At 35.5% G+C, this 15,771-nt stretch overlaps 1 protein-coding gene across 4 annotated transcripts in view; it reads right to left on the reverse strand.

The window, feature by feature from the left end:
• Positions 1 to 1,894: 1,894 nt before the first annotated feature.
• Positions 1,895 to 15,771, reverse strand: part of SLCO4C1 (solute carrier organic anion transporter family member 4C1) — a 62,299-nt gene continuing 48,422 nt past the window's right edge. For all 4 annotated transcript variants that reach the window (XM_011543370.3, NM_180991.5, XM_047417146.1 and 1 more), the window contains 4 exons: positions 15,161 to 15,351; positions 8,627 to 8,691; positions 7,160 to 7,297; positions 1,895 to 4,927 (listed from right to left, as the gene is read on the reverse strand). In XM_011543370.3, the coding sequence (XP_011541672.1) occupies positions 4,767 to 4,927; positions 7,160 to 7,297; positions 8,627 to 8,691; positions 15,161 to 15,351 (555 nt within the window). In that variant the 3' untranslated portion in view covers positions 1,895 to 4,766. The remainder of the gene's footprint in view (positions 4,928 to 7,159; positions 7,298 to 8,626; positions 8,692 to 15,160; positions 15,352 to 15,771) is intronic.

Below are 15,771 nucleotides of genomic sequence, written 5' to 3' on the forward strand. Positions count from 1 at the left end.
TCCTGAAATCCTGACACACAAAAATGGTAGGATAATAAATGTTTCCTGTTTTAAGCCACTGAAGTTTAGAGTTATTTGACACATAGACATAGAGAGGAAATATATCATGAAGAAAAAAGACTGGGTAACCATTCCAGATTGGAAAAGATTAAGAAGCAGTAATAAATAAATTTAACATGGGATCCTTGACTGGGTTCAGATCAGATAAAGACCACTGAAGCAGGAAATTACCCTGATCCCTTTGCAGGGGGGAACTGGAGTGTGGACACTGGAGCTAGCTGGTTGCTTTGGTGCCAGCAGGGGTAAACTCCACTCACTAGAACCTGTTATGCTCAACCCCTTGTGGAAGAGAGCACATAAGTGAGTGGATGCAGGAGCCAGGGTGAGTGCTTTGGGGCACCAACAGGAAACGCCGTGCAGGCTCCATGGAAGCATCTAATGGGGAGTACCCACGACTCCCGAAGCCCCAGGGGCATGCTTTACAGCGTTCTTTTAGCTTTGCTGTCTGCTGACGGCTTAAGTGTGAAACAGCTCAGTAGGCGCTCTGCCTTTTGACGTGAGGCAGTTGCTCTCCACCAGTGAGGGCAGAGGGTCAGAGTGATAGCCTTTAGCATTCGCACCCGTGGCACATGAGCTGTTGTTCAACATCCAGGAAAAATCAGGTTGCATGAAAAAATTGAAGGGTAGTGAATGTGAAGGACTTTATTGCCTATGAAAGTGGCTCTCAGCCGCAAGGGGAGCTGGAAAAGGGATAGAGCAGGAAGATGATCTTTTCCTGAAGTCCAGTGGCCTGGACTTCTTCTCTCCAGCCCCAAACCAGTTTCCAATGTCCAGCTGCTTTTCATCTTCTCCTCGCCTGCTCTGCTGGCAAAGCCTGGGATGGCACAGGATAGGGGGCAGAGTGGGCCATGGGTGGTTTTGGAAAAGGCAACATTTGAGCAGGAAAACAGGAATGCATGTTCTCACTTTGGGCTGTAGTTCCAGGCTTGAGGGTGGGGCCTTTACCAGGACTCGCTCTCTTCTGCCCAGAATTTCCCAGCCTCCTGTCCTTGTCACCACTAGTGTTATGATTGGCAAAATTATAATAAAATCTGTAGATTAGTTAATAGTATCATGCCAATGCTAGTTTCTTCGTAATTGTTTCTAGTTTTAGGTAATTGTTCTATGGATTTTTAAAATATTAACACTAGAGAAAGCTTATAGAGGAATTTTATGTGTACTATTTTACAAAGTCTAAAAGCACTACAAAATAAAATTTTAAATGGAAAGTCAGACGCACTAAATTTGAAAAGAAAAAAATGATCAATTCTTGATAATTTTTATAAGCTAAATTAATTTTAGCTGAAGCACTAAAATGTTATAATCCAACTTACCCATTGAGTTTTTCAAAGTGGATTATCTTTCATCTATTTTTGATTACTCATATGTGCTGTAAAAGTTAGTGTTTATTGGACTTTACTGAAAAAAAAGCTGAAGGAGCCTGGGGGAAAAGAACATTACATTTCAAATTAACATCTAATATTATTTCCTTAAAATATTTTACTATTACAATAAACTGAGATAAATTAAACACATCCCACACTTTTTTATCAGATAGTTTACAAATAAACCATCTGTAAAATGTATCCTACTTATATAAATCTTATATATTAATCTGTCATATGTAGAAACTTGTGTAAGAGAATTTCCCTAATATATATTTCATAATACATGTGGTTTGTATTGAATTAAAAACATCTGTTGAGATACAAGAAATCACTGGATTAAATTATTAATACATTCACCAAGTTCAAAAGCATACTAATTTCCCTTTCCCATCCATAAAATATGCTTATGTTCACAGAGATAAGGCAAGTTTCAAACCTGTGTCATTTAATAAGCTCAAACACGACAATTTTGTATAAACATTCTGATTTAATAAATGGTATGAATATATATTTTGCATACTTTACAATAAAGAAAATTTTGAAAGAAAATGGATCTAAAACTTTGTTTCCCTCCAATTTACATAGTAAAGTCAACTGCATACAGTTCTTTCCATGTGTAAGTTTTACATTTGTATTTTCTACAATTAAGTAAATCTAAATGTTAAATTTTAACACATATATCCAATTATGTACACAATTACAATGTCAATTTATAAGTCAAGCTTACTTAACAATCATAAATTACAAAAAACGCACTATGAATAATTTTGTTCTAGAAGTATCACATCAACTCATATGATCTAGGTGAACCCAAAAGTAAAAAATAATGATTATAAATTATGGTAGTGTCTGTAAAACCCTGTTATAAAGGAGGTATTCTTTTAAAATATGTACCTTATATATAAAAGCTCCTGACTCCTTTTAAGGACCAAAATTATTTTCAGTCTAACCATTTTCATTAAAGCGCTTATTTAAAAAGTATCACCTTATAAAACTGAGTATATAAAATACAATGCAGCCCTTGATAGCTAAGAATCTTTATAAACGCCAATGATTTAGTGACCTGTTTATCAAACTATTTCTATGGATGGGTTGATTTTTTTTCTTCCTCTAAATTAAGTGGCCCTAGACTAATATATTTGTTCAGTTATTCTGTTTTCTTCCTTACTGCCATTTCACATCTCCATCAGTGAGTTCCTCAGGATTTGCCTTTATGTTACAACTATGAAAGTCTTCAATCCAATTCCCTGCTTCCACACAAAGGACAAAGAAAGCCTAAACTTTCCTTTTCCTTTTTTCTGGGCTCCAATAGGAAGCAGCATTTACAACGTGTCTGGCTTGGTGGGAGGAAGATTGTCAATTGAGGTATCATGTGTGTTCACCTGCCTCTCTTGCCCTATTTCTTTGGTTGCTATAAATTTCCTGCTTCTCAAATATCTGGATTTTTGGCTACCTATTTGGCTTCCGTCTTTGGTGTTTATATCTGTCTGGTTTTAGCAGGTCTCTCTGATTCCTGACCCACAGCTCCTCTCCTTCTCTAATATTCAAGTATGCTGCTTCCCTAACTCCTCATTCCTTCTCCTTGAATTTCACTTTACAATTGCGCTAGGTTCTAACATCGTTGGCCATAGATTACCACAAAACATAATTTCTTAAATTCTGCAAATTTCTAATGTTTCTAATCTTGGTTTCCTACAAGATCTAACACTAAGCTTGTGTTATCCTGATTACAGTGTATATAAAACAATGCTTGTGGAAAATTAACCTAGGAGAAAGCTTATAGGGGAAACCTGATGATGAATTTTATTAAATTAATAACCCTTATAACAATTTCAAATGTAATACTATCTGGATTTGAACTTCAATACTTTTCCTAAGTAAAATTCTTAACCATGGTAGAAGTTATGTTTGTTGATGTTCACTCATCTATACCCTCCATATTCTCAGCAAAGTTGGCATAAATCTGACCTGAATAAACAGGGTTATAACATTATCAGGCTTGTAAAATACTTTATCAAATCAATGCATCAGTTAAAGCAGGGGTCCCCAGCCCTGGGCTGTGTGTGGCCTGTTAGGAATCGGGCCACACAGTTGGTGAGCTGAGAGGCAGGTGAGTGAGCATTACTGCCTGAGCTCCACCTCTTGTTAGATCAGTAGTGGCATTAGATTCTCATAGGAGTGCACACTCCATTGGGAACTGCACATGCAAGGGATCTAGGTTGCACTCTCCTTATGAGAATCTAACTAATGCCTGATGGTCTGAGGTGGAGCAGTTTCATCTCAAAACCATACCTTCTTCCCCCATGGAAAAATTGTCTTCCACAAAAATGGTCCCTGATGCAAAAAAGGTTGGGGACTGCTGAGTTAAAGGGTAGGGTTTAATATTCTAATTAAACAATAATAATAGATGACTACACTATGCAAGGCACTGTCTTAGGTGCTATGAGTAATGTGTTAAGTGGTTGGCTTTTCAAATAGGAAAAATTAAAGGTATATAAGTATTGATCAATAGTTTCATGTTTAGTTGGCATTTTTCTTTACTGACTGGTACTTTCCTCTGAAATATATGCAATTGAATAATATTATCACAGAATCATAAATGTGTTAAAAATTGTAATATCAACAAATTACCTCCTGGAATTCTTGAGTTAAAGTGAAAATATGTGTATACAATGCTGATGTTTCTGTATTCACTATATACTAAGACACAAGGATGATAACTAACATATTCTAATAGTTCAATAATTTGCTTGGAGAAAGGCCAGGCTAGTATACATAAATTTAAAAACAAATTACATGGTAAACCTGGTTTTAAATTCATAGGCTTTCAATAATAATTCCCGGAAATCATCACACAACTTTGATTAGTTTAAATTTTTATACCATAAATGTTCTAAGCTCAAAATATTGACAATGAAAATTAAAATTAAACAAGTTGTAATGGGGATAGAAACAACATTTTTTTTAAATGTAAATTTTTCTAATTGTGGGCCTTTTTTCTTGTTATTGCTTGAGGATTTCATACCTAGACAATGGGAATAGGAAATAAGTGTGTATGTGTGCGTGTGTGTGTGTGTGTGTGTGTTCGTGTGTGTGTGTGTGTGTGTGCTCGTGTGTGTGTGTGCTGTGTTTTGAGGCTTTACGTGGGCTTTGAAGGCACAGGTCTGTTTCTTGCATAAAACAAAAACTACATAAGTAAAAAAATACATTTGATTATAAAAACATCAATTTTGTAAATATGATTGTCCATATTGGATAGATAATCCTGCCATGGCAATGTGTGTTCTTAAAAATCGAGGTAAATTTTCCAGGTGTAAAACAGTCTTCTCTTTTCCCATTTCACCCTTCTTTTACTATTTTGTTGAGATCCTGTTCTGCTAAAACATTAGTCACAACTGCATTCTCTTTATGAAATGACACATCTGTGGCTGATGGAGGTGGTTTATACAAAAAGATTGCAAATCCATTGAAGAACATGGTGATAACTTTACAAGTAACACCTAAGTGAAAAAAAAAATTAATCATGTGCTTTTGTTTTTAATTATGATAAAAATTATCACTGAGAAAAATCTTCATGAATAGAACATTTTTAAAGAGAATAATTACATAACCATTATAGTTCTATGTTTAAAATTTTTGAAACATTAAGGGGAAAGAAAAAACATTTGTATACAATTCAAGTCACTAGTACTTATTTTCTTTCTAAGCTGTAATAGAGCACAATAATTAACTTATTCTTGGTTATGCTTGTGCATTCTTGTAAAATAAGTGTTGTATAGAACTAAATAGGAATTGGGCCACCATCTAGATTTGTTAACACAAGCCCATAATCCCAGTACTTTGGGAAGCTGAGAGAGGTGGATGTCTTGAGTCCAAGAGTTCGAGACCAGGCTGGGCACCATAGGAAACCCTGTCTCTACCAAAAAAAAAAAGTGCAAAATATATTCAGGTATGATGGATGGTACAGCCTGCAGTCCCAGCTACTTGGGATGCTGACGTGAGAGGATCGCTTCACCCCTAGAGGTGGAGGTTGCAGTGAGCTGAGATCACACCACTGCACTCCAGCCTGGGTGACAGACAGAAACCCCGTCTCAAAAATAAATAAATAAATTCGTTAACACAATATGATATCTATAAAAAATTGCAAGCAACCAAAAGTCAATAATGAGGGAAAGTAGTTTGTAACATTCTTGAACCTGAATAAATTGAAGAACATTCCCTTCCAGGACAGAAAATAATTCTAAAAATTAAAAAGGTTTTGGAGTTCTTAAAGCCTCTGTGGGAGGATATCACACTCAATACTTAACCAAATCTACTCTTCTTATCAGCTAAAAATAAACATTAAGATTCACTTCACAAACTTTGATTTATTTCCAAGTAAATCTGATTTTAAGTTCAGTTATATGAAGAGAAACTAGTTCCAACCACAGTATAAGCATTTAATAATTGCCAGCCTAATAAATTCAACGTGGTCTCACAGTATAGTTCTTGCAGTAGCTGGTTTCTTTTTGTTGATTATTAATATTTTGTTTAAAAACATGTATTTGAAAAACAGGAATGCTCATTCATCTAGGCATTACTAGACTATAGAATGATTAGTTACATAGGTACAACTTACAACTTTTTTTATTTGTTTCATTCTGAAAATTTTAAGGTTTTATATATTTTGTGGGGGGATTCCCATTCATCATTGACTAGGAAAATGAATGATTTGTTCTATCTATATCTTTGACCAAAAAGTACAAACAAAATGAATTAAATAAATTTTAAACATAAAAACATTGTATGTAGCCATGATTGTGGTAAAAATATATAATTTTAAAAATTGAATAAAAAATGGTTTTTAACAACAGGTAAAGTAATGGGATGATTAATTTTGCCTATACTTGTCAATACTTACTCCCCAAGTGCTATAAGAATTTATAGATTATTTCTTCAGCAAATATTCTATTACTCTATCTCTATCAACTCAGAAAGCATACTCTGGATTTACATGCATGTAAGAGTAATAATAGCCTATCTTGATCAACCTGTGTCAAAATAATCACAATGAAAATCACACATTATATTAGATACATATGTATACATACATTCAGGATTTCTCTAAGCTATTTTAGTTTCCTAGGTTATTATTCAAATTTTAAATTTTTAAATTTCAACTTTTATTTTACTAGTGTAAACTAGATACATTGTTTTACTTAATCTTAATCTTGCCTTAAATTTCATTCATTGCTTAACCAAGACATTACAAACTGCAAAAGGCAAAAAGAATTAAACATCACAGCTAACCTTCTAAACTATAAAAATGTTCCTTACAACGTGCCTTGGAGACAAAGGATACTTCCCTGCCTGAGCCATATGTGTTTGCAACACCTAGATACCTAGATGACAATCATTCCAGGGAGTTTCTCAGAATTCTCTTTTAGCTTTCGAGTATACTTTCCAAAAATGTTTGAGATAAGTTATTAAAAGAAAAGTATATACTGTATGATGTAATGAAAGCTAGAATTTTATTTTCTTGTATTTAGTACTGAGCCTTGCAAACTCCATCTGTTCAAAGCCTTTCATAACATGCTGTGATAAATGTTCTCTGCTTCAGGAAGACTACTGGATGGTTCAACAATGTGGACTGAACATTTCAAAATACCTGTGACCCTAAGTAACCAACAATGAGATTTTTTTTTTTTTACATCCTTAGTTTACTCTAAAATTATCAAGAAGTCACCACTTACTTATGGCTACTAGCATATGGGCCATCTTGATGTTATCATAAATCCAGCAAGCTCCTTTAATTCCACAATCATTTATATCCCAAAGAATACATGTGCTGTCTATTGTGAAACCAAATATAATTGGTCCAGGAATTGTCCCTAAAAGAATTATGGGTGAAATATACAACAGTAAAGATTACAGTTTAGAATTACAGATCTTTTTATACATGATCATACATATATTTTATAGAAATAAAAATAAGTATTCATCTGTCCACATGCAAATTAATTCATGTACAAGTCAAAGAAATATAAAGCAGATACAATATTCTAAAATAATTATATGTAATTACTATGTATTTCTAATCAATTCAAAAAAGTATTTCAATAGAAATATCCAATATATATTGGGCTAAAAGTTAATATTTTAATTCACCACTTTTCTAATATAATGAATAAATATGCCTTTGAAATTAGCTATTATACTTGTTAAAAATCAAAATAAATTATTCATGATGCACAAATAAATCTGCTGAACTATAGTATATGTTGTATCTATGTGGGTGTGCATGTGTATATAAACTAACATGGGCCTCTGTATGTATTAGTGTATGTATATACAAATATATAGTCTTATAATACCATATCTAGGAATATCACTATCTTATATACCCGCCACCATTTCCAAGAGGCCATGAGGTACTCAACTTCCATATAGTTAAGAAACTTCCAATTATTTGAGGTTGTAATTTTTAGACAAAGATTTCAGCTACATCCAGTCTGTTCTTTCATGACCTGTAGCATGATACAAGTCAGAGTACTAGACTCAGAGTTAGGAATCATTTTCCTACTTTCATTTCTATCACTAGTTGTGTAACTATGGGCAAAACCCTGCACTTCTCAGGGACTTAATTTACTCATCTGAAAAAATTGGCAAGTTGGACGAGGTGATCTCTAATGCCCCAACTTTTTGTTTTTGCTTTAATAAATAATCTTAATATTATGTTTACTATGTCTGTCTTTCTTGTAATTTGTCCTGTACCTGGAACTTTATAAAATTCTCTGGTACAAATTCTTTCTTCCAATAATTCTTAACTAGTCACAATATCCATACCACAGTTGCTGTTGAAACATTTTAACATCATTTTTAATTGCTAGTGTAACACAATAGTGTCACGAATAGAGACAAAAGCAGAGAGAAAAGAAATTATGTGTTGATGATCATATTTTATATTTGAAATAGACATGACACACCTTTTAAGATTTTATTAGCAACATAGTTGGAACAGGTAACCAGTCAGGTAGGTTAAAAGTATGCAATAAGTAAATAATCCTATATCTGAAACATTGGAAAATGGCTTCCTTCAACAAGAATGATGTAGCCTTCCACTATAATTTTTTTTGCCACAGGCCATAAATTAAAAAATAAATAACACTAATGAACCAAAATAGCCAACAGTTAGCAATGAATAAAGAAAAATGGCATACCTAATAATCGAAGGACCATAAATTGTATTCCCAAGGCTAGGGACCGTTGTCTGTGATTAACACACCTGGAAATATTAAATATATATGAGACCAAAAAAGGTGGTATAGTATATTCACTCTTTGAGCAAGTTCACATTTATAAGAGTTTAGCATTCCTATATTAAAGTAAATGTTGTAAACGCAAAATAATGCATTTGTAAGAGCTTATAAATGGTTTAATCTTCCTGGGATTATAAAAGAAGAAAAATGTTATCTGACCTAAAATATTGCAAATAACACCAAAGAGTCACTAGTCTTTATTAATTTTAATAAATGTAAAGAGAAAGGGTATTCATTAACAAGACATATTTTCCATAAAAGTCATCAATAAATTATGTATAGAAGGAGTGTACCTCAATATAATAGAGCCCAAATATAACAAATCCACAGCTAACATCATACTCAATGGTGAATACCTGAAAGCCTTTCCTCTAAGATGAAGAACAGGACAAGGATGCCCACTCTCATGAATTCTATTCGGCATAGTACTAAAAGTCCTATCCAGAGTAAGTAGGCAAGAAAAATAAAAGGTATCCAAATTGGGAAGTAAAAGGTAAGATTATCTCTGTGAAGATGACATGGTCATATATGTAGAAAACACTAAAGATCCTGCCAAAAAAGCACTACAACTAGCAGATGAATTTAGTAAAGTTTTAGCATACAAAATCATAATACAAAAATCAGCTGCACTTCTATACACCAACAATGAACAAAAGAAATCAAGTAAACAACAAAATTTACAATAGCATTGAAAAAAAAATACTTAGGAATAAAGTTAACCAAAGAGGTAAAATACTTGTACACTGAAAGCTATAAAACACTGATGAAAGAAATTGAAGAAGCCACAAATAAATGGAAAGCTATCCCTTGTTTATGAATTGGAGGAATAAATATTTTAAAATATTTATCCTACATCAAGTGATCTACAGAATTCAGTGTAATTTCCATCAAAATTCCAAGAGCATCTTTCACAGAAATTGAAAAAACAATCCTAAAATTCATATGGAATGACAAAAAATCCAGAATAGCTAAAACAGCCAGAGGGTGGAACAAGATGATAGACTGAAAAGCTCCAAGTTAATAATTATCTACACAGAAAAAAAAACACAACACTTTAACAAGAATCAAAAGTCAGGTGAGCACTTATAATACCTGGTTTGAACTTTATATTCCTGAAAGAGGCACTGAAGAGATTAAAAAAAAACAGTCCTGAATCTCAGACACCACACCTCCCAACCCAGGCAGTGGCAGTGTAATACAGAGAGAATCTCTTGGGGTGGGGAGGGAGAATAGAGCAATTGTGAGGCAATAAAATCACTGCTGTCCTGTTAGAGCAGAAAGGAAAACCAGACCAACTTACCTGACACCTGCCCACAGAGGGAGTATTTAAACCAGCCCTGGCCAGAGGTTAATCTCCTATGCAGCAGTCCAAACTTGAGTGCTTACAAAACAACTCACCACCAAGGGCTACAGCACTGTGTCTCCAAGTTAACTTGAAAGGCAGTCTAGGCCATAGGGACTGCAACTCTTGGGCAAGTCTTAGTGCTGAATTAGGCTCAAAGACAGTGGACTGGAGGCACACGTGACATACTGAGACAACAGCTGGGACAGACAATGGAGTCCTGGTATTACTCCTCCACTAATCCCCAGGCTGCACAGCTCCAGGTTCCAAAAGAACCCCTTCCTGCCACTTGAGGAGAAGAGAGGGAAGAGTGGGGAGGATTTTGTCTTGCATCTAGGATACCAACTCAGCTACAGGAGGACAGAGCACCAGTCAGAGTTGTGAGGCCCTCCCATTTCAGGCCTTAGGTCCCAGAAAATATTTCTAGACACATTTTGGGCCAGAAGGGTGCTTGCTGCCTTGAAGGAAATACACCAGTCCTGACAGCGTTCATATACTTTTAAGTCATGAAGAGCCCTTGGGCCTGAATAACCAGCACCAATACCCAGATACTACATTGAGGGCGTTGGGTGAGAACTCTGAGACTTGCTGGCTTCTGATAAGACTCAGCACATTACCAGCTTGGTGGCTACGGGGCAAAACTCGTTCTGCTTCAGAAAAGCAGAGGGAAAAGTAAAGGGGACTTTGTCTTACGCTTTAGGTACCATCACTGCCCCGGGGGGTAGAGCACCAAGCAGGTTATTGGAGTCCCCAATTCCAGAACTTGACTCTTTGACATTTCTGGACCTGTCCTGGGCCAGCAGGGAGCTCTCTGCCCTGAAGGGTGAGTCCCAGCCCAGCCAGCATTCATGACAAGCTGACTTAAAGAGGCAGTGGGCCATAAAGGAACATTGGTGGTAGTCTGGCAGTACTCCTCGTGGCCTGGGTTGGAGGGGCCTATGGGGTGAAGCTTCTCTGCCTTTGCAAAGGGGAAAGAAGAGTGGAAAGGACTACACTGTGTGGTTTCCATGCCAGCTTAGCCGCAATACAATAGACCAGGTAGACTTCTAAGGTTTTTGACTCTAGTCCCTGACTTCTGGGTGGCACTTCTAGACCCACCAGTGCCTGTAGGACCTCCCCACCCAAGCGAAGGACACAAGCGTGGCTGGCTTTCCCACTTGCTGATTGTAGGGCCCCAGGTCCTTAAGCAAACAGAACTAGTAACCATGGAGTAGTTACAAAAGACCTTGGAAAAGACCCAAAACTGTGCTGGCTTCAGGTACGACCCAGTGCAATCACAGTGGTGGTGGCCACAGAGGTGTTTGCATCACTCCACCTTCAGCTTTAGGTGGCTCAGAACAGAGGGAGAGAGACTGCAAAAACCACAGCATTACTGGCCTTCGGGTGCCCCTTAAAGCAGATACAACTAAAATTAGAACACCCAAGTCCTTTCAAATATGTGGAAAGCCATCCCAAGAAGGATGGCTACAAATAAACCCAGACAATGAAGACTATAATAAATACTTAACTCTTAAATACCTAGATGCTGAAGAACATCTACTAGTATCAACACCATCTAGGAAAACATGAACTCACCAAATGAGCTCATGGCACCAGAGACCAATCTGAGAAACAGAAATATGTGACGTTTCAGACAGAGAATTTAAAATAGCTGTGCTGAGGAAACTCAAATAAATTCAAAAAACACAGAGAAGGAATTCAGAATTCTATCAGATATATTTTACAAAAAGACTGAAATAATATTGGCCAGGCATGGTGGTTCACACCTGCAATTCCCAGCACTTTGAGAGGCTGAGGCAGATGTATCACTTGAGGTCAGGAGTTTGAGACTCAGCCTGGCCAACATAGTGAAACCCTGTCTCTACCAAAAATACAAAAATTAGCTGGGCATGGTGGTGCACGTCTGTCATCCCAGCTACTCGGGAGGCTGAGGCAGGAGAATCACTTGAACTTGGGAGGCAGAGGTTGCAGTGAGCCAAGATCATGGCCACTGCTCTCCAGCCTGGGCAACAGAGCGAGACTCCATCTCAAAACAAAAAAAGAATCAAGTGGAAATTCTGGAGCTGAAAAATGCAATTGGCGTATTGAATAATGCATCAGAGTCCTTTAGTAGCAGAACTGATAAAACAGAATAAAGAATTAGTGAGACTGAAAACAAGCTTTTTGAAAATATACAGTCATAGGAGACAAAAGAAAAAAGAATAAAAAACAATGAAGCATGCCTACAGCATCTAGAAAATAGCCTCAAAACGGAAAATCTAAGAGTTATTGGTCATAAAGAAGAGGTAGAGAAAAAGATGGGTAAGAAAGTCTATTCAAAAAGATAATAACAGAGAACTTCCCAAACCTAGAGAAAGATATCAATATCCAAGTACGAGAAGGTTATAGAAGACTAAGCAGATTTAACCCAAAGAAGACTACCTCAAGGCATTTAATAATCAAACTCTCAAACATCAAGGATAAAGAAAAGATCATAAAACTAGCAAGAGAAAAGAAACAAATAACATACAGTGGAGCCTCAATACATCTGGCAGCAGACTTTTCAGTGGAAACCTCATAGGCCAGGAGAGAGTGGCAAGTCATATTTAAAATGCTGAAGGAACAAAACTCTTACCTTAGAATAGTATATCTGGTTAAAATATCCTTCAAACATGAAGGAGAAGTAAAGACTTTCCCAAACAAAAGCTGAGGGATTTCATCAATGCCAGGCCTGTCCTATAAGAAATGCTAAAGGGTGTACTTCAATCAGAAAAAGAACATTAATGAGCAGTAAGTAATCACCTGAAGGTACAAAACTCACTGGTAATGATAAGTACAAAGAAAAACACAGACTATTCTAACACTGGAACTGTGGTGTGTAAACTACCCTTATCCTAAGTAGAAAGGTTAAATGATGAACCAATAAAAAATAGTAACTACAACAACTTTTCAAGACATAGTACAATAAGATATACATAGAAACAACAAAAGAATAAAAAGCCAGGGGACAAAGTTAAGGTGTAGAGTTTTTATTAGTTTTCTTTTTACTTGTTTGTTTTATCAATAACACTGAATCTAAAAGAACTAAACTCTCTAATCAGAAAACACAGCCTGGTTGAATGGATGATAAAACAAGATCCATTGACCTGTTGCCAACAAGCAAGACACTTCACCTATAAAGACACACATAGACTGAAAATAAAGAAATGGAAAAACACATTCCATGCCAATGGAAACTGAAAGAGAATAGGAGTCACTATACCTAGAAAAAATAGATTTCAAGACAAAAGCTATAAGAAGAGACAAAGAAAGTCACTATATAATGATCAAGGGGTGAATTCAGCAAGAGGATATAACAATTTTAAATATATATGTAGCCAACACTGAATCACCCAGATATACAAAGCAAATATTAGTAGAGCTAAAGAGAGAGACAGGCCTTGATACAATAATAGCTGGAGACTTCAACACCCCATGCTTTGCATTGGACAGATTTTCCAGATAGAATATCAAGAAAGAAACATCAGACTTAATCTGTACTATAGACCAAATGGATCTAATAGATATTTACAGAACATTGCATCCAATAGCTGCAGAATACACACTCTTTTCGTCAGCACATGGATCATTCTCAATGACTGACCATACGTTAGGTTACAAAACAAGTCTTAAAACATTCAAAGTAACTGAAATAATATCAGTCATCTTCCCTGACCACAATGGACTAAAACAAGAAATTAATAAGAGGAATTTTGGAAACTATACAAATATATAGAAATTAAACAATATACTCCTGAATGACTAGTGGGTCAATAAAGAAATTAAGAAGAAAATTGAAAAATTTATTGAAACAAATGATAATGAAAACAACATGCCAAAATCTATGGGATATAGCAAAAGAAGTACTAATAGGGAAGTTTATAGCTATACATCAAAAAAAAGGAAAAATTTCAAATAAATAATCTAATGATACATCTTAAAGAATTAGAAAAACAAGAAGAAACCAAACCTAAAATTAGTAGAAGAAAGGAAATAATGATCTGAGGAGAAATGAATGAAACTGAAATGAAGAAAACAATACCAATGATCAATGAAAAATTAAACAAAATTGACAAACCTTTAGCCTGACTAAGAAAAAAAGGAGAAGATGCAAAGTAATAAAATCAGAAATAAAAAGACACATTACAAGTGATACTGTAGAAATTCAAAGGATCATGAGTGGCTACTATGAGCAACAATATGCCAATAATTGGAAAATCAAGAAGAAATGGACAAATTCCTAGATACATACAACCTACCAAGATGGAATCAAGAAAAATCCAAAGCCTGAACAGACCAATAACAAGTAGCAAGATTGAAGCTGTAAGGAAATGTCTCCCAGTAAAGAAAAGCCCAGGACCTAATGGCTTCAGTGCAGAAAAGCCAAAGCTACTCTAAGCAAAAAGAACAAAACTGCACATGTACCCCTGAGCTTAAAATAAAAATTAAATAAACAGTAAAAAAAGAAAATGTAGTGAGTAAATACTAAGGAACAAAAAAAGAAAAAAGCTATAATTCATTAGGAAAGATATACAAAGACTGATGACTCTATGGAAGGACAGGTATGAAATGTACAAGTATGGAATGTGTTTGTGCAGTGGGATACAAGGAGGAAGAGCAACTGGAAACATAAAACACAGGTGAACAACACAGGTAATAGCCAGTTTCTTATTGATTAGCACTGCTTAAGGAAGATTTAACGTCACAGTGCCTAATGCATAAGGTAGAATGCATGCCATTCTGATTCTGGCATATTGGAATGCATTTTATTTCTATGATACTCAAAACTGAACGTTTCTCCAGCTCACACCTGAAGCTTCATGAAAGAAGCAGAGAAAACACCAAGCACAAGCCAGGCAGGCAATGTGAAGACACTTTCACCTGCATATCATTTAAATCTCCTACATCTGGGGTTCTACAGAGGAGCTTGTCCAATGCCACAGAACTAATGATCTTGTAAGGGCTGATTGGTATTGAACCAATGGTCAATATGAACCCCAAATGAACCCCGAGTCCATTTGTTTTCCATCAACATGTTGCCTTAGGGAATGAAAATTTCTCAACGTGCTACATACCTTAGGATAGACACAGTTATAGGAGTACCGGCCATAAAGGTAAAAATAATTACAATAAAGAAAATGCAAAGGAATATGGGCAGTTTCGCACAATGAGTTTCACATTTTCCAGCTTTAGCTTCAAAACCAAAAGTTTCTGCAGTGGATGTTATTTCTGTTTTCCTTTCAATACAGGAACAGTTGTAATATACCTAAAAATATTAGACATAAAAACAATGAAAGTGATCATTTAGAAAATAAATTATTGTAAATTAGGTATTCTCTAGACATGGCAAACACTCTCATACTGTCTTAATCCATATTCAACAAATTATGCTGAGAGAATATTTAACCCTTAAGAAATTAAGCAAGTGGAAACAAACCATATTTATGATGTGGAATTATCTGTATTTGACTTTTGTGGCCATTACTTCAGTTTGTAACCTGCTACAGTGATTATTGACTTACAAAACAATTTAATGGGAATATAAGTTACATGACCTTGCACATTCTACACTTCTTTCAACAGTAATTATTTCTTAAAGTCATTTTACATCTCAACTCCATCCTTCCATATCCTTTATCCTTACTATAAATCTTTTTTAGACATTAAGGCCTCAACGAATCAGAGC

This window comes from Homo sapiens, chromosome 5 (genome assembly GCF_000001405.40).
Source record: "Homo sapiens chromosome 5, GRCh38.p14 Primary Assembly".
Taxonomy (NCBI): domain Eukaryota; kingdom Metazoa; phylum Chordata; class Mammalia; order Primates; family Hominidae; genus Homo; species Homo sapiens.